General features: G+C 52.2%; 1 protein-coding gene across 22 annotated transcripts in view, besides 1 other annotated feature; it reads right to left on the bottom strand.

Moving 5' to 3' along the window:
• Positions 1–19,105, bottom strand: part of CLEC16A (C-type lectin domain containing 16A) — a 237,623-nt gene that overhangs the window by 6,837 nt on the left and 211,681 nt on the right. For 9 of the 22 annotated variants that reach the window (NM_015226.3, XM_011522434.3, XM_005255211.3 and 6 more), the window contains one exon: positions 8,798–8,962. The exons of 4 other annotated variants lie outside the window; for them this stretch is intronic. In NM_015226.3, coding sequence (NP_056041.1) covers positions 8,798–8,962 — 165 coding nt within the window. Of the gene's footprint in view, positions 1–1,073; positions 1,197–8,797; positions 8,963–18,124; positions 18,274–18,667; positions 18,777–19,105 lie in introns of those variants that run through there. 9 more of the 22 variants (XM_047433853.1, XM_047433855.1, XM_047433854.1 and 6 more) reach the window with 3 other exon arrangements.
• Positions 663–1,176: an enhancer, noted in NCBI's record as "H3K27ac-H3K4me1 hESC enhancer chr16:11268031-11268544 (GRCh37/hg19 assembly coordinates)". NCBI's record gives its function as "activates a minimal SCP1, AML or CMV promoter by ChIP-STARR-seq in primed H9 embryonic stem cells {active_cell/tissue: H9 hESC(primed)}" and the evidence as "EXISTENCE:reporter gene assay evidence [ECO:0000049][PMID:30033119]".

The raw sequence follows: 19,105 nt of genomic DNA, 5'->3' as shown, positions 1-19,105 counted from the left end.
GGCTGGGGAGACAGAGCCGAGGGGGTAATGGGACATTCAGGAAGGCCACGTTTCCATAAGCAGCGGACAGACATCCCGTGGCTGTGGCCAGTGAGGACACCAAGGCAGCAGGTCCCCCATGTGCCTGGCCAGCACCTCAGAAACTGATCTGCAGGCCTAGGGTGGGGCCTTAACACATCCTTGTCAAGCAAATGGTGACTTCCAGCAAAAACTTGGATTTGTTGTGCTGGGCTGGGAAAAGGTGGGGCTGAGTGTTGTGGGGAAGAAAAGGATGGTACCTGTAGAGCAAGTGGAGGGCAAAGCTCAGAGAAAATAGGATTTCAACACAAAAGAAGGCAAAGGCTCCCAGCAGACAAGCGCAACGGCCAATGGAGAAAAGCGCATCAGAAACCACAGAAGAAGCGTCATAGGGGAGGCAGCAGGGATGGCCCCGACAGCGAGCCAGGCTGCTGGGTGGTGGCCCATGGATCAGCCTCACTGCTGTGTGGGTGCCACTCAGAAAGGGAGATGGTGGGGCCACATCCATCCATGTGTCTATGAGGGAAATGGCTCTTGGCTTCCGGTCAAAACAGGACTGAATTTGCCACTTATCTTAGATCAAGACTAGGGGAAGAAAGGAAAAAAGAAATGAGGAGACTTCTTGGTTGCTTTCTACAAATTCTCACTTTGCCAGCCAACTGCCGCCCAACCCCCATGGCCTAAACTGGGGGGACCCCTGGGGGACTTGGCAGGAGCATCTGCTTCTGGCCCGGGCCGAGCCTGACACTGGTGCACATGTCACAGAGAAGGACAGCGTTTCCAGGCTGTACAGGTCTGGCTCAGAAGGACTGTCGCGAAGGTGAAGGACTGTCGCGAAGGTCAAGGGCCGGGGATCTGGTCTTCACATGAGGTGAGGCCAGACAGGGAGCAGGGAGAACCAACTTTGGGGGAAAATGGGGAAGTGCCGCCTTGGCAAATGGCTCTGTGCTCAGGCCCAGCTTGGCCCACCTTGCCAGCGCGGACCCTGCCGACTGTGGAAATGCAGCGTGGCGAGTGGACGTCGCGGCCCGAGCGGCTCACAGGGGAGACCTGCCTGAATTGACTGTGCGTGAGGTGCCGTGGCAGCTGCCGTTCGGAGCACTAAACCCAGTGGCCGCCATGACTGTCGGCCTCCGACAGGCTGAACACTCGTCGGCGTCCTTTCCTGCCACTCCTGACTAGAGGGAAAACACAGCGACAGATCATAGAAAGCCTTTAACAATGGGACGGCAGAGGCGACATGGAGGGGACACTGAGCAGCAGCGGACGCTGAGCACTGACGAGGGGCGAGGGTCGTGGGGCAGTGCCCAGCATGGGCTTGTGGCCACCGGTGCATGGGGCGCTGGCCCCCCATGCAGAGAAGACACCCCCCATGCAACCCCCAGGATGAGGCAGGGTCGGGATCGCTGAGAACCAAATTGTTCACTCGTGCAACTTAACCGGGTTAGGGGCAGAGAAGGTGGAGTCCTGTTGGAAAGGAAAGATGGGTTCATCCGCAACATCTGGTCTTGGTCGGAAGCCTCAGGGGACGGAAGAACAGAATCACCTGTCAGTTTTAGACATGGCCCAGGAGTCAGGACACGAAAACCCGGCATCCTCAGGACAGTGTGAGGAGGGCAGGGTGTGTGGCTGGAGGACTGGCATCAAACCAGCTAAGTGAATCAAGCAGATTTCTGACCCCAAGTGAGGAGGTTCTTGGTGTCACACGCTGACGCCAACAGCACAGCTCCGAGTCCTGAGAAAGCTCAGATGCTCGAGGCGCTCCACGAGCCTCTCCACGAGCCTCTCCCTCAGCCACCTAACTGGGCAGCGACTTGGTGACCCGTGCCTTTGAAAAATCAAGACTGAACCACAGCAGGAGAGCGGAGACCAGGTGCCAGGTGGCCGAGTGGGGCTTCTAATTGGCTGAAATAAAAACGTCGGGAGCATCTCACTGCGAAGGGAGAAACCACACTCTCGGAGATGAAGGCGGGTGAGCACACAGCTTGAATGTGACGCCATAGAGCACTACAATGTGAAGGTCCTTAGATGCCACTGGACTATACACTGAAAAACGGCGAAAATGGTAGTTTATGTTACCCGTATGTTACCACAATAAAAAAGGATGATGCCACAGAGAAAACTGAGAAAAGGGACGATATCTTACTTGGGGTTTCTGTCCTTAAAACTCCAGCGGGACAGTGGTGACCGAGTTGAGTGGCATGTGGGTGGGTTTCAGGTCATCTGACTCTCAGTTGGCCCAAATGGGAGGTGTGGTGGGGTGAAGGGGGCTCTCTTGGACACAGGCACAGGGGTGGGTCCAGATGGGAGGGAAGCCGGGGAAGCTCCCTGCACTGGGCCGTCAACAGCAGCCAGACCTGTCTTTCTTTCTATAAAACCTCAGGGGACAATCAAGGTGGCCATGACTCATAACCCAATGTGGTTTTGTTTGTTTGTTTGTTTTGAGACAGAGTCCCGCTCTGTTGCCCAGGCTGGAGTACAGTGGCATGATCTCGGCTCACTGCAACCTCTGCCTCCCGGGTTCAAGCAATTCTTCTGCCTCAGCCTCCCGAGTAGCTGGGATTACAGACGCCTACCACCACGCCTGGCTAATTTTTGTATTTTTAGTAGAGATGGGGGTTCACCATGTTGGCCAGGCTGGTCTCGAACTCCTGACCTCACATGATCCACCCGCCTCAGCCTCCCAAAGTGCTGGAATTACAGGCATGAGCCACTGCACTTGGCCGTTTTTGTTTTTTAAAAATGAATGTTTAATTACACCTACTATGTGCTCCCCCAAATTAAAAATAAATAAATAAGCAGGCTGACATTCACACTGTCCTCATTTTTGATCAAACAGTTTTCTGTCTTCCCCAAGGTAGTTCACTTGGAATGTATGTGAACTCCAACTAATCTGGAGCTCAGAGGTGTGAGTGGGCTATTTAAGGAACTCACTGTAGGTCAGAGTTCTTATCTGAGGAGATGGTTTTCCTATCGGCATCTCACTCAGAGTGTGTGTGTGTATGTGACTGTGTGCATCTATGTGTGAGTGTGTATGTGTAGGTGCAGGTATGTGTGTGTGACCACGTACATACATTTGTATGCGTGTGACTGTATGAGTGTGTGCATGTATGTGAATGTGGCTGTGTATGTGAGTGTGACTATGTAAGTCCATTTGTATATGTGTGACTGTGTGAGCATGTGCAGTGGCATGTGTGACTGTGTATGTGTGTGTGACTATGCATGCAAATTTGTGTATGTGAGCATGTGCAGTGGCATGTGTGTGACTGTGTGCATGTATGTGTGTGGGAGTGTGACTATGCATGCACATTTGTAAGTGTGAGTGTGTGTATGCCCTGGTATGTGTGTGATTGTGTATGTGTGGGAGTGTGACTATGCATGCACACTTGTATGTGTGAGTGTGTATGTGTACTGGTGTGTGTGACTATGTATGCACATTTGTATGTGTGAGTGTGTATGTGCCCTGGCATGTGTGTGACTGTGTGGGAGTGTGACTATGCATGCACATTTGTATGTGTGGCTGTATGAACATGCGCATTGGCATGTGTGACTGTGTGTATGCAGAAGTGTCACTGTGTGGGTGCACAGTGGTATACCAGAAGATATTTCTAACGTTTTCCTGTGGCCCCACATGTGGTTCTAAAATTGGGTCTTTTTTCACTTTCCCGCTGTATATTCTTTGCAAGTTCAGCTTCTCAAAACCATAAAATGTTTAAGGGGAAAAAATGCTGATTCCAACCCTGCAATTTTCTCACTAGGGGCTGGCTGAGGCCTGCCAGGATAGCTCTGCTGGATGTGTGGGCGACAAGATGCCTGGCTCCTGGACACTTCGTGGGGAGGGTGTCGGGCTCTCCCCACAGAGCACTGGAGGATCTCACCACACTTCTCAAAAGGACTGGCCATTAAAGTGCCCTGGGGCACAGTTGCTCGGGTCATCAGGGAGTTCGGTGTTGACTCTCCCTTTGGTCTGGGGCCAGCACTGAAAGAGCCACTCCAGGGCACCCATAGCTCTGCCTCTGGCGTGCGAAGGAGGCTCAGAGGCAGGTGCTGCACACGGAGGGAGCCTCTGGGTGACCAGGGAGTCAGTGACCCCTCGGGGCTGTCCCCTTCCCCCTTCCAGCTGAGAGGCCCTCACCTGTACTGGGCCTGAAGCTACCGCTGGGCTATAGGCCGCGGCCCTGATGGGCATGGGGAATGTTCCTCAAAAGTGTCCTCCCCCCTGCCCACGGCCCGTCTGCATTTGGGAAGACAGAATGTACAGGCAGACCCCAGGGAGATGGGCAAAAGGAATCCACTGGTCTCTAGGAGATGTGGTTTGGGACCCTGGTGGCCTCATGTGAGACCCAAAGGCCACCTTCCTCACGGACCAGGGCCTCACCAACCCCTCATCCCCCGGCTGTCATCTGCAGCGATGCCACCTCTGGGAGCCTCCCGCACTGTTCTGCATCGGCTGTCAGAACCTGCTGCACCTTTCCTTTGTCACGGTTTGTAACTGCACATGCCTCTGGGTGGCCACCTGATAGGCCTCAGCCACCCCGCCTGCCTGCAAGATCATGCTTTTTGCCACATTGTATCCCGAATGCTGTGCACAGTAGGGACTTATCCTAATCCTGCTTGCTTGGAAAACAATAATTCACTGAGACAGGGAGTGGGGTGCCCAAACCCAGGGAAGATAAGATGCAGGGAGATGAGCCACTAAGAGGTTGGAAGGCCACGTGTGGGCCGGGCGGGTGGAGAGATCTCTTGGATCAGGTCTCAAGTCCACAAAACCAAGAGGACAGCCTGAGCCTAAATCCTGGGAGCCAGGCTGAGGTCCCCACGGGAAGGTGAGAACGTGTTTGGGATAAATGTGGAGAGTTTTCAAACTCAGGCAGGAAATCTAAGGTCCCCTGAGCTGGACGCAGGCTGGAGGCGGAAAACCCAACTGAGCATCAGCTGGTTTCACTGCCTCATGTGGGATGAACCCACGTGGGCTCCCTGGGGTCCACTTTGCTGCTGATTTTAGGAAAGCACCAGGCCTTCCTCCCCCAGGGGTTCACACCACCCAGCCTTCTGCTGGCTGGGGTTGTACATGTTAGCAGGCCTTCACGAGTGGGGCCGTGACTTTTCACTTGGGCCCTAGAGCAGCCACGCACGTTGGAAGGAGAAACATACTTCATGGGCTGCCTCCAACCAGGATCCAGATCGGGGCCCGGGTCTCTGCGACACCCTGGAGGTGCCTGAGACAGTCTTGGAAACCGCATCGGATATTCTGCTGGCATGGGCTTTAGGGCTGCCAAGGCTAGGCTTCAGATCCTGGCTCCTCTGCTGGCTAGCTGCATCCTCTGGGCCAAGTTGCACAGCCTTTCTGGGCCCCTGTGTTTTCTACTGTACAATGTGAGGCGGAGTGTGGCAGGATTCAACAAGGGGACATCTGTGAAGTGCCTATAAGCATGGTGTCTGGCACAGGTGGGCTCAATTTCAGGAGGAGTATCTACTGGGACGCCACACAGCAGGTGCACACTGAGAAGGCCCTGCCGTGGCTACAGCAGGAGCCTAGGCTGATTGGTGGGTGCCTGGGCCACACCAACTGTCAAAACAGCATGAAGGTCACTCCCAGCTTTTAACAACATCCTTGAACAATTCAAGTGTTCAAAACCGTGGGCTAGAGCTATGGAAAACTGGGCCTGTCTCATCACTTGGGGGATGGCATATCTTGTGTACTTGCCCAGCCAAACACCTGGCCATGCAAAGTGTGCAAAGGAGGGCCAGGCGTGATGGCTCATGCCTGTAATGCCAGCACTTTGGGAGGCTGAGGTGGGTGGATCACTTGAGGTCAGTAGTTCAAGACCAGCCTGGCCAACATGGTGAAACCCCATCTCTACTAAAAATACAAAAATTAGTTGGGCATGGTGGTGCGCACCTGTAATCCCAGCTACTCAGGAGGCTGAGGTGAGAGAATTGCTTGAATCTGGGAGGTGGAGGTTGCAGTGAGCCGAGACTGCGACACTGCACTTCAGCCTGGGCAACTAAGCAAGACTCTGTCTCAAAAAAACAAAACAAAACAAAAAACAAATCAATGGCAAAGAAGCCACTGGGGTTTCCTAGTTCTGACTTCGGAGGGTCTGGCAGCCGCTCTCTACAAAAGGGAGCTTCCTGGACTCTGGGAGGCTCCATAATCACAGAGACGGGATCGCCTCTGACTTAGCACTGTACCCTCAAAAACCACTTTGAGGACATGCTGCCCCTTGTAGGGGGCTGCAGCTGTCTTCTGCTGTCCAGGCTGAAGGCAGTGGGCGGTTAGGATGAATGAGCTTGGAGGAGAGGCCCTGGCCCACCCCGCTGCCTGGCTGGCCCTCCAAGGATATCATCTCTGGTGGATCAGGGCCAGGTCCCTGGTGGGTGGAAAGTTGGGTGAGCGAGCCACGCAGGGTGACCTTCCCTCATCAGAAGCCTGAATGCTGAGTCGCACTCTGAGCCAATGTCAAATCAAGCAACTGGCAGAAGGGCTCCTATCCCAACAAAGCTGTCTCCCTTCTCCTGTCCTTGGCTTTCTCTCCTCTGCGGCTTGCTGGAACAGCAGGCAGATGTTGGAGCCATCTGGTTAGGCCCATCCCTACAAGGAACATGGGAAGCCCATATGCTTTGGTCTGGGTGGACTGGGAGGGAGATTGCAGGCTGGCCTAGAAGTCTGGCCTCAAGACAGGGAGGAGCTTGTGGGCTCTGATGAGCTCTCCTGCCAGGGATCAATAGCTGCATCCTGAGGCATCTGTAAGAGTAAAGCCCAGGCTGCCCACCGGGCATGGCCCTTCATCAGGTGAGTTGTCTCAGTGTCTGCAGAGCCAGACAGGCAGGCTGGGCCTCAGGCTTTTACTGTCATGCTGCATAAAGAATGGGGACCTACACACTTGTCTCCGCAGGCCTGCTGGGGACGCACCAAATGGGAGCAGACACCTCGGAGGTCCTGACTCTCACTTATTGACTGGAACTGCCTGGCCACCTGACAGCCAAGTTAATAGCCACTGGATTTCTGAGATGAGAAGACATTACGCTGGTACCATGCAGGGGATGGTGGGGGTAGGGACAGAGGGGCTGAGGGAGGCCAAGAAAAAAGAAACTAGCACACACTGCAGACACCAGGCCCTGGGAAAGTGCAGAGTTGAAGCCTCAGGGGTCACATTCAGGTAGACATCCATATACAGAAGCCCATTTTTGATCATTTTTGATACTGTGGGTCTTTGCCGGTGTTAACTTTAGGCAAAGAAGTATATGGCTGTTTGTTCACTTAGCTGTTGGCTGTACGTCCTTAAAAATGACAGAAAGGTGACCACAGCTACAAGGGCAAGGAAGCTTTCATCCCCAGTGCAACGGTAAATATGTGCGTTGGGGTGCATGAACACACAACCCTGCATGCCCGCCCCTGAGCAAGCATGAAACGGGATCAAGAGGGCTACTGAGGGTGCGTCTTAGTTTCTGAAAGAAGCTCTGCTGGAGTTTCCCAGCTACAAGCCTGGCAACAGGGGTGGCATCTGCTTGGATGTGCAGCCAACCTTAAATTGGGCTCAGAAATAGCTCAGAAGGGGTGGTCATGCCCTGGAGCAGGTGCCGAGTGGAAGAGGATCTCTCAGTGAGGTGGCTGTGGGGTGACTTTCCTGCCTGGGCCTCGTGAAGTCAATATGAAGTGCAGGTAACATTGTGTGTGGATGGGAGAGACACAGGTGGGTTGGGGTGCTCTGAGCCACAGGCATGAACTGGAAATGCAAAAGCTGGAAGTGCCCAAGAGAGAGGTGTAGGTGCCCAGGGAGATCTTGGCTCCTGGTGCTGAGAGGATGGTGACCAAGGGCCCTCGACCTCCCTGGCTCTGCAGTAGCCCGTGTCCTCCTGCCATGATCAATCAATCCAGAACTCAATGAGAGGTGGGCCACGTGCCCCTGAAATATGATGAGTGAGGGCTCTGGAGGGGAACTTGCAGGAACAGTGAAGGATACTAAGGATCTCCAGTCAGAGGTGCAGGCAGTTGGTGTGACCCCCCGACCCATGGCGGGGGGATGCTGCTGGGGCACAGAACATCCTGCTGGCTCAAGGCCATGGATGCTCATCCCTGCTCCTCTGGCTACAATTTGGGGCCATGTTGTGCCAGAGGCCTGGTGTCTGTACTTCCCCACATCTCACACAGCGAATAGCTCACGGCAGCCGAGAACGAGGAGCTGGTGCATGTCCCATTCCAGGCTGACTCCAGGGGCTCCCATTCACTCCCGGGTTCCCTCTGTGCCATGTCTGAAGTGGAATAAGTTGAAGGATGGCAAGATACGACTTCATCACATCCTACCAAAGAGTGGCAAAGTGCGTGCCTACTCGAACAACTGGACCGCACCACATTTAAGGACAAAACTGGTATGTTACAGAGGAAAAAAAAAATCAGCAGGAACGCGATTCTTTTCCTAGACTGCAAACAATCCCCTTGGGAGACCCCTCCTTGTGACACCTAAGACTGTGGAGGTGATGATAGGGTGGGTTTAGGTGCAGCCCGCCTGCTGCCCATCAGCTCTGCAGTCAGTGACAGCTTCGGTGGGGACCGGCCTGAAAAAGGAGCAATTCTTCCCCATCTGGGAGCTGACCCAGCCTGGGAGGGAACATCAAGTTAGAGGAATCTCTAGAGGCTTCATGTGCAGATCACCTGAGCGGCATCATCCTTCAAGTGCTGTGACAAGGAGGACCTGGAGGTCAGGGGTTTTGGTAATGGTGAGGGATCACGGGGTTCTCCAAATGTCCCCATATCACTGAGTCACGTGGCCAATACCTGCTGGACTCTGGGCTGTGGAGGGGGTGGAGGACGAGCTGGTGCCTCCAGAGTCGCAGTGGCTGGTGCTCCCGCTGCCGCTGGGGCTCCCGCTGGCGGAGGGTGGCGACTGTGAGGACAGGGACGGGGAGCTGTGCTGGTTTATGCACTGGGCCACGGCGAAGCCTGCAAGACAAAGTACCAGGTGACCAAGTGGAAGCAAAGAGTAGGCCTGAGGGCCTCAATGTCATGGTTCCACTGAACAACCCAACCTCAGTTCCTTGAAAGTCCTGCTCTGTTCCCTGGAACAGGCTGACCTCACTGGTCGTGGCCCTGACCCAGCCACATTTTGAAGCTATTTCAAGGAAAAGGTTTATTACAGGTTTATTTCAAGGAACAGAGTACAACCAGCCACAGAGCTGAGTGTGGGGCCATGAGTCGTAAATCCGAGTGCCTGATACTGGCTCAGCAGCGTGCCAGCTGTGCCCTTGAAGAGGGACGTGCAGCCTCGTGGCAAGTTCACCCAGGGATGCTAGATGCCCTCATGGTAGAGTCTCAGGCTTCTGCTGATGGTGTCCAAGGAAGGGCACCGGACCCATGCTCTGAAGTCATACCTGGGGGACCCACGCTCTGAAGTCACACCCGGGCAGGAGGACAGTGCCCTGGACGCTCCTTCCAGAGAATTTGCTCTGCCCTTGAGGTTCTAGGGAAGTCAGGTTCAGGAACAACGAAAGCCCTGGCAAAGAGCTAGTGATGATGGTCTCAAATGGCCCTCAGCATCTCCGGGACCTGGAGGTGGAGTCTGCCCACACGTTTCTGCGGTAAACTGACCCAGCGGGGATGAACGAGCCCCTCATCTTGGAGACACTCAGACCTGGGTGCACCCCTGTTTCCCACACAGAAGCACCAGACACTTGAACAGCTATTGTGTTTCTCTTGAGTCTTTCCCAGCCACAACCTGGAGTATCACTACATACTCCCACTGTTGTGGGAATAAAATGAAAGAACTATTATCACACCCCAGAACAGGGTGTGGCACATGGTGAGAGCTCAGTATACATGTTTGTTCTTTATGTTTTTTTGCGATAGGGTTTCACTCTGTTGCCCAGCCTGGAGTGCAGCGGTGTGATCTCAGCTCACTGCAGCCTTGAGCTCCCAGGCTCAAGTGATCTTCCTGCCTCAGCCTCTTGAGCAGCTGGGACTACAGGGATATGCCACCATACCCAAATAATTTTTTTTTTTTTGGTAGAGATGGGGGTCCCACTGTATTGCCCAGGCTGGTCTTGAACTCCTGGACTCAAGTGATCCTCCTGCTTCAGCCTCCCAAAGTTCTGGGATTACAGGTGTGTGTCACCACACCTGGCCGATACGTGTTCTTTACGATAAATCAAAGCCCCTTTTATCCGGCCCAGGAGCCCCTCTTCTGGTGGACATGTGCTTTTCTGCAGGCCACGACTTCAGCCCCTAGGAGCCAAGCAGGACCCATGGTGATGGTGCTTCGTGGCACAGAAGCAGCCCCAAATTGCGGTGGAGATATGGGGGGGCGAGTCCTCCTTCCAGCTGAGAGAGGGGATCTCAACCCTCTTGGTCACTCCTGCAGCCTTCCCACTCCTCAAGCGAATGCATTCACCACAGCCAGCCCTGGACCCCATTCATGCCACCTGCCCTGCCTGAACTTCACACGGTCCAGCTCTCTACTAACACTACTTCCAGAAGGCCCTCTAGGCCCTGACCTCACCTTTCTTGAAACTCAGGAAGGCTGCAGGGTGTTAGCAGGGGTTGGCATCCTGCAACCTGCTGCCTGCTTGGTAAGTAAAGTTTTACTGGAACAAGCCACGGTCCTTTGTTTACAGAGACTATGGCTGCTTTCTCGATCAGCGGCAGAGTTGAGCAGTTGCCATAGCGACCACATGGCCTGCAAAGCCTAAAAGGCTTTTTTGCCAGGTTACCTGGCTCTGGACAGAAGCAGTGTGCCCATCTGGTGCAGGGGATGACACCCAGGTTATGGCACCAGGGAAGCCTGGGATTTAACCCTCCTCTGCTCACTTCCCAGCTGAGGGACCTTGGGCAAGTCCCTGATGTCCCTCAGCCTCCTTCCTTTCACCTACAGATGGGACCTGCGGCTCAGCTTAGGGCTTAGCAGGACTCTTCTCCGGGCCATCAAGGAGGGGCTATTTCCACTCAGGTTCATGTGAAGCTGTTTTCGTCTAAAGATCAGCTCCTTAAAAGGCAAGGGCCCTATTTATACCCCCAGTTGGGTTTTGGGGGTGACTTAACAAGCGCTGACTATAATGGCAAGTGCATGGGGCCCAGTGAAAGCAGGGTGAGTCTCCGAGTGAGGCGGTCATCCTGAGCACCAGCTCCTCTTGCGTGGAGGGTATTTCCTGCCCGCACCTACCGCAGAGGTCTGCTTGCGGAGAGAAAGGCAGGATGAATGTAGCTGGAGTTCTCAGGAAGAGGCACAATGTGATATATTGTGTGTGTGTGTGTCGGGGGCCCGCTCAGATGAACTATGGCAAACATCCGGCAAATCCAAACACTGGGCAGGAAGATTCCTTGGGGACACTCAGCCGCAGCCTCATGGAACCAGTTTTATAGCTGCTCACTTCTTAATCACTTAGAGCGGTAAACCCCCCAGTTTACAAGCTGTTTACTTGCCTCGAAAATGAATTACCCCTTAACAAATCAAAATGTCAAGATGGCTTTTCCCGAGCTGCCTATTTATCAGGGCCATGAACAGAGGGCCAGCCAGTGTAGTAACAGAGTTGGGATTACACCTTGTATGCTCCCGACAATGACCCCGGCTGGAAGGGATCAATGACATAGCCGTTGCCAAGGTGGTCACAGGCCCATTTGAAGAAGACACGTCTTTTCTCTTGCCCTCTTTAAAGCCATGGTTTATTACAGCATCATAAACCTGGTTTATTATCAAAAGACATCTGCAGTGGGACATGTAGGGTAGCAGATGAGAAGCTGGCACTGCAGTCAGGATGCTTAAATTCTTTTATTTTGGGAATGGGTTGGGATCAAGTCATAGATTGGCAGTAAAATCTGCATGTACTGAGTTAAACAAACAAACAAACAAAAAAATCACCAACTACCGATCCCATCCATTTGCAGGGTCTAGCTGAGCAGAGGTTACTGAACACATCTCTCCCTCACCCACTTCTACTAAAACTCCCACTTCCCTCCTTTCCACTCTCTCTCCCTTTGCCAGTGGCACTGAGACCAGAAAGCCACAGTGACTTTTGGCTTTTTTTTTCCTTTATTTTGCTGGATGGCCAAGGCCCCCCACCTGCAATTTCAAGGGGTTTTTCCCCAAATCAAAGTGGCAACACATCAGAGAATCAGGAGGGTGCTGGGGAGAATTCAGGGTGAATGTCTATGGCCAGAGCGCCCTGTCCTCTGGTTCCTGCTTCATCCCAGTCAGGCAGTCCCTGATGAACTAGCTTTGGCAGAGGTGCCAGAGGCTTTTGGTGTATGAATCAAACACACTTGGGCTGCGAAGTAGGTGCAAACACACAGACAAGCCAGAGATCGTGCGACAGGAGTGAAGGCAAACCGGCCTCCCTGAGATCCTCTCCAGTGATAACAGTCTTGGCTCTCCCTGGGTATGCTTCAAGGACAGCCTGCAAAATGTGTATCAGAGGCTGCATGGACTTTCACACCATCTGACCAATTCCACACCTGCAGCATCCCATGCTGCAGACGACACTGTGGGTGGATGCACATACCGAACTACAAGGATATTCAGCATATTGGTGTGCAGAACAGAGAACAGAAGACAGCTGATAAGTCCAAGAACTGGGGAAAGGCTAAGTGAATTCTAATCCCTCTAGATGATGAAATTCCCTGCTGCCAACCAACACGCTGGTAAGAGAAGACTAAGTGTTGGGGGAAATGCTCAAGATGGAGTCAATGAAAAAAGGTTAGAAAAAGCATGTCCCATATGTTTCCGCTCTTGCAAAAAATTTGTGCTCTCTTTCCCCCTTGTCCAGAGCAGAGAAGGCAGCTGGAGATTTGAAGCTGACACAGTGAGAGAAGCAGGTAGTTGTACTGCAGTGAGTTTTGTTATTTTTTGTGCTTGTCTGAATTTTCCAAGACTCCTATTGTAAACCTTATTTTAAACCAAAAAGAGAAAAAAAAGGGAGGATGATGGAGGGAACACAAACTGCCTGGGAACTGGATAGACTCAAGCTCCCGATCCTAACATCCTCCTGAGATCTGTTCTGCCCTCTGAAGCTCTCTCCCCTGGACTCACCAAGAGCAGGGCCAGGCAGGCCACTCCAACAGTGGGGGGAAACTATGCCCATGGTGAGACACATCCCCCACTTCCCAGGAGCCCCCAGTTTCACGGTCGGGGGGCGCAGCCCAGAGTCTTCCTGTTGCCCTCTGGCCGTGTTCTGCCAGTTATTTTGGGAAGATGAACTAATGAATAACGCTCTGGCATTTGTGAAGCACAAAAATACCAAGAAAAGGTCAGTCTTCTATTTTTAGGCCCACTGACAGAAGGAAAGCTGGGCTTGGAGTCAGAACCCCAGGTTTGAGTCCAAGCTCTGCCCAAACTGACTTCGAGACCTTGGACATGCCCCCCTCCTCCTCTTCTACAGGTCTTTAAGCTTTCCCCACCAATAATCACTTAACCATGTGATTCAAGATTCAGAGCCGGCCAGCAGCCGCCTAGGGGCTTGCACACGAGTTTCGCTTTGCTTATTTATGTTATATGTGTGTTTGTTGGAGGTACCACCATGGACACGTTGGGAGCTTTTACACACAGACCTGGATTTCTGCTTTCTTAAAAAATGAAAAGATCTGGCTTTATGGGGCCCCATTCCTGCAGGACAGCAACGGGAGAGAGATGAGCAGAGCTGGGTCCCTGCTCTTGCAACTTGCCTGGCCGTGTGGGCGTTTGAGTTGATAATCTCTGCTCTTTATGCCTAGATTGTTGGTCAAATCCATAGGACTCAGGGAAGCTGGAACCCCCAGATATCTTTCGAGTCAAGGCCCTCCTACAACCCCAGAATCACTGGGTGTGCATAGGAGTGGGGATGTGGAAATATGGCGATCTGCCTCCAGCAGCCTAGGTCAGTCCTCAGACCTCCTACCAAGAACCACTTGCTCTCAACCTTTGCTAGGCCGTTCCCTCGGTCTGGAGTTCTGTTTTGCTTCTTTTCTGTCTTTACAAACCCCTGCCCCATTCTTCATGGCTCACGCAGCTCAGCATTAGCCTGGGAGGAGTCTTTGCATAAGGTAGGGTTAACTATTCTCTCCCCTGTGCTTCTGCAGCAGCTCTGTCCAACCTTGGGGCCTTGATGGCTGTGTAGGAGTCGGCCTACCTAAGCAGGGCATAAGAAATTTGACTGCAAAGATGTTTAGGTATTTAGTGTGATGATTATCATTACATTAATAGCTAGCACCTGGAATCCTCTAGGTTAAGAGGGTTTTGTTCACTTTATTGGGAAGGCTTAAAACAAAAAAGCAAAAAGAAGAGGGTTTTGGACAGTGTTCTTGATATTGTAAGCTGTCTCTCAATAACCATTCTCCCTTTCGGTTGCAGTTACAGAACCCAGAAGCTAGTCGTGGCCAAGTGACTAAGTTGTGACCAGTGAGATAGAAATGAATGTGGCATGTGGGATTTCCTGGAAAGCTCTTTAAAAGGAAAGGGGGTATATCCTCCTCCATTCTGCTTCCTGGAAAATGGATGCAATGGCTGGAACTCCAGCAGCTGCCCTGAGCTATGAGGATGAATCACACATTAGGGACAGCAGAGCACTGAAAAGGAAGGAGTTTGGGTCCCTGACGTCTTTGTGTATCTCTTGACTACAAGGCTTCTTTTACCCGAGAGGGAAATTAACTTCCCCTTTGAGTTTATCTTTACTATGTAGTTGAACTTAATCTTAACTGATACAGTTAGGGAAAAAACTTTGTTAATGCGGGGATGTGAGTTAAGTCCCCTAGGGACAAGGGACGGGCTGGCTCCCAGAGTTTTTGGTGCAGAAAAAGCTGCCCTGTACCTGCTGGGTGGAATCTAGGTGTGGTGGGCTGAAGGGAAAGAGGGAAAGGGGCAAGTGAGGTGGGGAGGTGACCCGCCACCTAGGGCTTATGAAACACTTGGTCAACTCTTTCCCATGTGGTGCAAGTGGACTTTTTGGGTAGAAACCAGAGATGGGACCGAGTTTTTGTCTGGGTTCACACCTGGTCACAGAGATTACACACAATTGTTAAGACCCAGAAAGAGCGAGGCCCGAGAGAGACTAAAGGGTGGGAAGGGCTTGGATGTGTGTAGGCACAAAAACTAGTGGGCTTGCACCAAAAGTTTTCTGAATCTCCAAATGAGCAGGGACGCCCCCCGACCTCTGTGGCCTGCCTGGAGTTGGTGCCGCTTTGCACTTGGTAATTACTCTGAGGATACTGGCCATGTGACTAAAGTGCAACTATTTCAGGCTTAAAAAAAAATCTACCCTTGGAAGATGTGAAAACTACCTGAGATTATAGGGGATTCCACAGGAACCTTTTAGGGAGCTGAAAGGGAAGGAACCCAGTTGGCTCTGAATTCAATTTGGGGATTCTCCACTCAACTCAAAAGCACTAACCTCGCCCTGCAGCCTCATTCCCTACAGATGCCCTTACATACTACCTGTTTCCAGGAAGGGTTTGAGATGGCTTATGTTATATTTTAAAACCCAAGCCTAAATGCCATAGATACTAAATACTGAAAGCTACTAAAACAAAAAGTAAATAAGAACCCGACAATAAAAGGTGAAAAGTTATATCAGAAAGACTTCAAGCTATGGGAAGCTAATGTCACCATTTAACTCTGAGCTTCCTAGGAGCTAAGACCACAGGGAAAAAAACAGGCGATCTACACGACACACCAATTCACCCACAAGGTTTCTGTCCCATGAAACCCTCCTGGGGCATGTCTTTGAAAGCAGCTTAATGGGAGACACAACTGCCTGACTGCAGATGGAACCTCATTCCTCAAAGATAACGCCCTATGACAGCCCTTTTCAAACATTTTTTCTAAATGGTGAAACTCCAATTTATACATGAGATGAAAATGGAACTGCTCGGGCTGGCATGGTGCCTTACCAAGGAGGGCCTTCCCCTCCCCTTTCTAGACACTTCTGTGGATCCTACTTTTGAAAATCAGACAGGGCAAGGCTGGCCAGCCCGGTAATGTAATGAGGAGGGGCTGGAGATAAAACACTGGTGGTCCTCTCTATCTGTCATCTGTTTCCCTTTATTTAATAGACACACGCACACTGAGAAACCATTCTCTTCTATTAAAACAACAGTGCAGGCATGCTAATACATGCAGTCCATGGGACATTCAGCTTTTGTGCCAGGGAGATGGCAGGGCCTGGTAGAGACTGGGGCAAATCAGAAAGCACAGATTCCAGCTTCTTCTAACTGCTGCTGCAGGAGAACATGGACCTCAGTATGGCCGCAGTCTCCAGTTTGTCAAGAGAAGCTGGATATCTGGATTTTGACATAACACCTCCTGATTTTGAAAATGTTGACAGCTTCATTCATACTCCTTTTGAAAATTAAGAAGTGGGAAACCCCAAGCCAGCGAAGCCAGGCCATCTATCTTGTGAGCCGTTTGTATGCAACCAGAGGGGTCTCCAGCCTCTGTTTTTTTTTTTTCCCTGAGCTGGAGTCTCGCTCTGTCACCCAGGCTAGAGTGCAGTGGCATGATCTTGGCTCCCTGTAACCTCCGCCTCCCAGGTTCAAGCAATTCTCCTGCCTCAGTCTCCCAAGTAGCTGGGACTACAGGCATGCACCACCATGCCCAGCTAATTTTTGTATTTTTAGTAGAGATGGGTCACCAAGTTGGGCAGGCTGGCCTCGAACTCCTGACCTAAAGTGATCCTCTTCCCTCGGCCTCCCAAAGTCCTGGGATTACAGGTATGAGCCACTGCTCCCGGTCTCCAGCCTCTGTTTTTAACCCCAGGGTGTCTGTCATACCTTGGGGCCTCCTTGACCAAACTCTGGAGGTGGGGGGCTTTTGAGTCTGAGGTATGAGACTAAGACATTTAAATCTCAGTTAGAGGTGTGTCAAAGAAGTCCAGTTTTCAATAGACCTCTTTTAGGAAAAAGCTCTAAGATTTGGACAGGAGAGCTGCCTGCCCTAAGAAAAACCTACACTTATTTATGGTTGTTGCAGATTGCAAAGCATAATATAAAACCCGCTGAGGGCTGATTCGGGAGAAGCAACCCGTGCATTTTCCACAGTCTCTGCCGTGAATGAGGACCATGAGGCGTGGGTGCCCTGAGCTTGCCTTTCATTAGCAAATTCATTCCGAGGCTGTGGCTCAGGTTTCTGACGATGCAGTGTTCATATTTTCTCACCACCCATCACGATGCTGGGAAACAGTAAAAAAAAATCAATCGGCCCTGTGACCTCGCACACAAACTGAAGACAGCAAGTGTGCATGGCCTTATTTCTCCCCTTGTCGGCTCCTTCCTTGGATCTGCCCTTTCACCTCCCAGTGCAGCCTGCCAGGTCCCTGGGGCGAGAGATGGGGGGCTGGGAGGTGACTAAGTCTGGGACTTCAGCTGCTGGTGGCTCTGGACAGATTGCGGCTTACTAGAAAGATCTGCAGGTGACATAGAACCTTCTTGTTCGTGCTTCTGACTCAAGAAGCAGCTCTGGATCCTACACCCTGGCAAGATGACAGCAATACCCGAGGGCAGGCGGGGGCTAGGAGCTACTCAGTGGGGGGCTACCCTAGGAAAGCCACCTTAGGAAGACAGGGCACAGGGCCCAAACTACCCACGGCTGCTCAAAGAGCACGTGTTGGGGGCTGAGGAAGCAGGGTTCAGATTCAAGTCTAGCAACAGCACACCGACATGGGCCAGGTGAGGCCTGGGTCCTTGCCCGGGACTCCTCTTAGGAATCTACACAAAAACCAAAGAGAAACAAAAGCATTCACTGACATGTGGGCAGGGTTCAGATAGCAGTGACTCCAAGGGCCTGCAGGAGCCTTGGGGGGCCCCAGAAGTTTCCTCCCTCACTGCTAGGACCCTGAAGTTTGGGAAAGCTTCAGGTATATGCACAGAGACCCCTTTTCAGTATCCCTTTAATAAGTCTCAGATGATTTACTGTTTCAGTGCACAAAACTCTGTGCTTTCGGGGCAATGAAGGACTTGCCCCCAAATGGTGATATCTGGTTTTCTTCCTGTGCACTGGTGCTGAAGAAGCCACTTCCTGTCCAGCCCAGGGCGCAGGTCTACACATCAGGCACCTGGGGAAGGGATGTTCGTATGGCCTCCCGGGCCAAGCCTGAGCTGCCACCATGGGCGACCCCCACATCACTGATCACTGACTAGGCTGCACCTCACAACGCTTAAATACTTTTTATTTCTGATTGCTTTTCAACGGATAACATGTCCAACATACAAAAATAGCTGGGAACTTGCAGAGTCTTTTAGCCTATAGCTCTTTATCCATGGATAAATCCTCTCAGATTTTAAACACTATCCTTGAAAACCTGCAGAAAAGAAAAAATGGTCTTTCAGTATCTTGCTTTCTCTCTGTGTCCTAATTGTGCCCTTAGAAATGTTTTTGCTGTCGGGTGAAGGTCTGCCTGTGAGGGCTGCCAAGTCTAATGCCCCTTTTGCTACCGGCAGGGGGTGGGTGGGGGGGGGGGCGGGCATTTGGGCTGTGTGAATATGAGGAATGCGTGCATCTTACATGAGCACCTATCCAGGCCACAGAGGGTTGGATGGCACATGGGGGACACAGGTGGACCAGATCTTGGAATCTCTCGCAGTGGTGCAACCTTGCTTTGGATTTCTAGAACTGAAGGTCGCCAGGGCTGGGCTTGATTCCCAAGGACCCAGTCCCTGCCTCGCCCAGCCCCTGCCCTCTTCCACTGGTATTACCGTCTGTAAATTAGCAAGCAAAGACCTCCACAACAGTCTGTCAGCCAAGGCACTAGCAAGCTTGGGAGCGGCCATCTGGGCTGCCTCTCTACTGCGGCAGTCAGCAGGGCTGAAACGGCAGCAGGAGGAAGGCGGGTTAGACAGCACCCAGGAGACTCCCAGGCACAGGCGCTCACTGACCCCAGCTGGAGCAGAATCAGGAATGCACCAGGAGCAGGGTGGGTCACTATGGCCCTGCTTGCAAAGGATGGCCCCCCAAGGTTCTGGCTGGCCAAGGAGTGGCAGATTAGTTGTGTTTTTTTTTTTTTTTTTTGAGATGGAGTCTCACTCTGTCACCCAGGCTGGAGTGCAGTGGCACAATCCTGGCTCAGAGCAACCTCTGCCTCCCGCATTCAAGTGATTCTCCTGCCTCAGCCTCCCAAGTAGCTGGGACTGCAG

Source organism: Homo sapiens, chromosome 16 (genome assembly GCF_000001405.40).
Source record: "Homo sapiens chromosome 16, GRCh38.p14 Primary Assembly".
NCBI classification, from domain to species: domain Eukaryota; kingdom Metazoa; phylum Chordata; class Mammalia; order Primates; family Hominidae; genus Homo; species Homo sapiens.
Note: the sequence above shows the minus strand (reverse complement) of the source record. Positions and strands in the feature narration are given on the sequence as shown.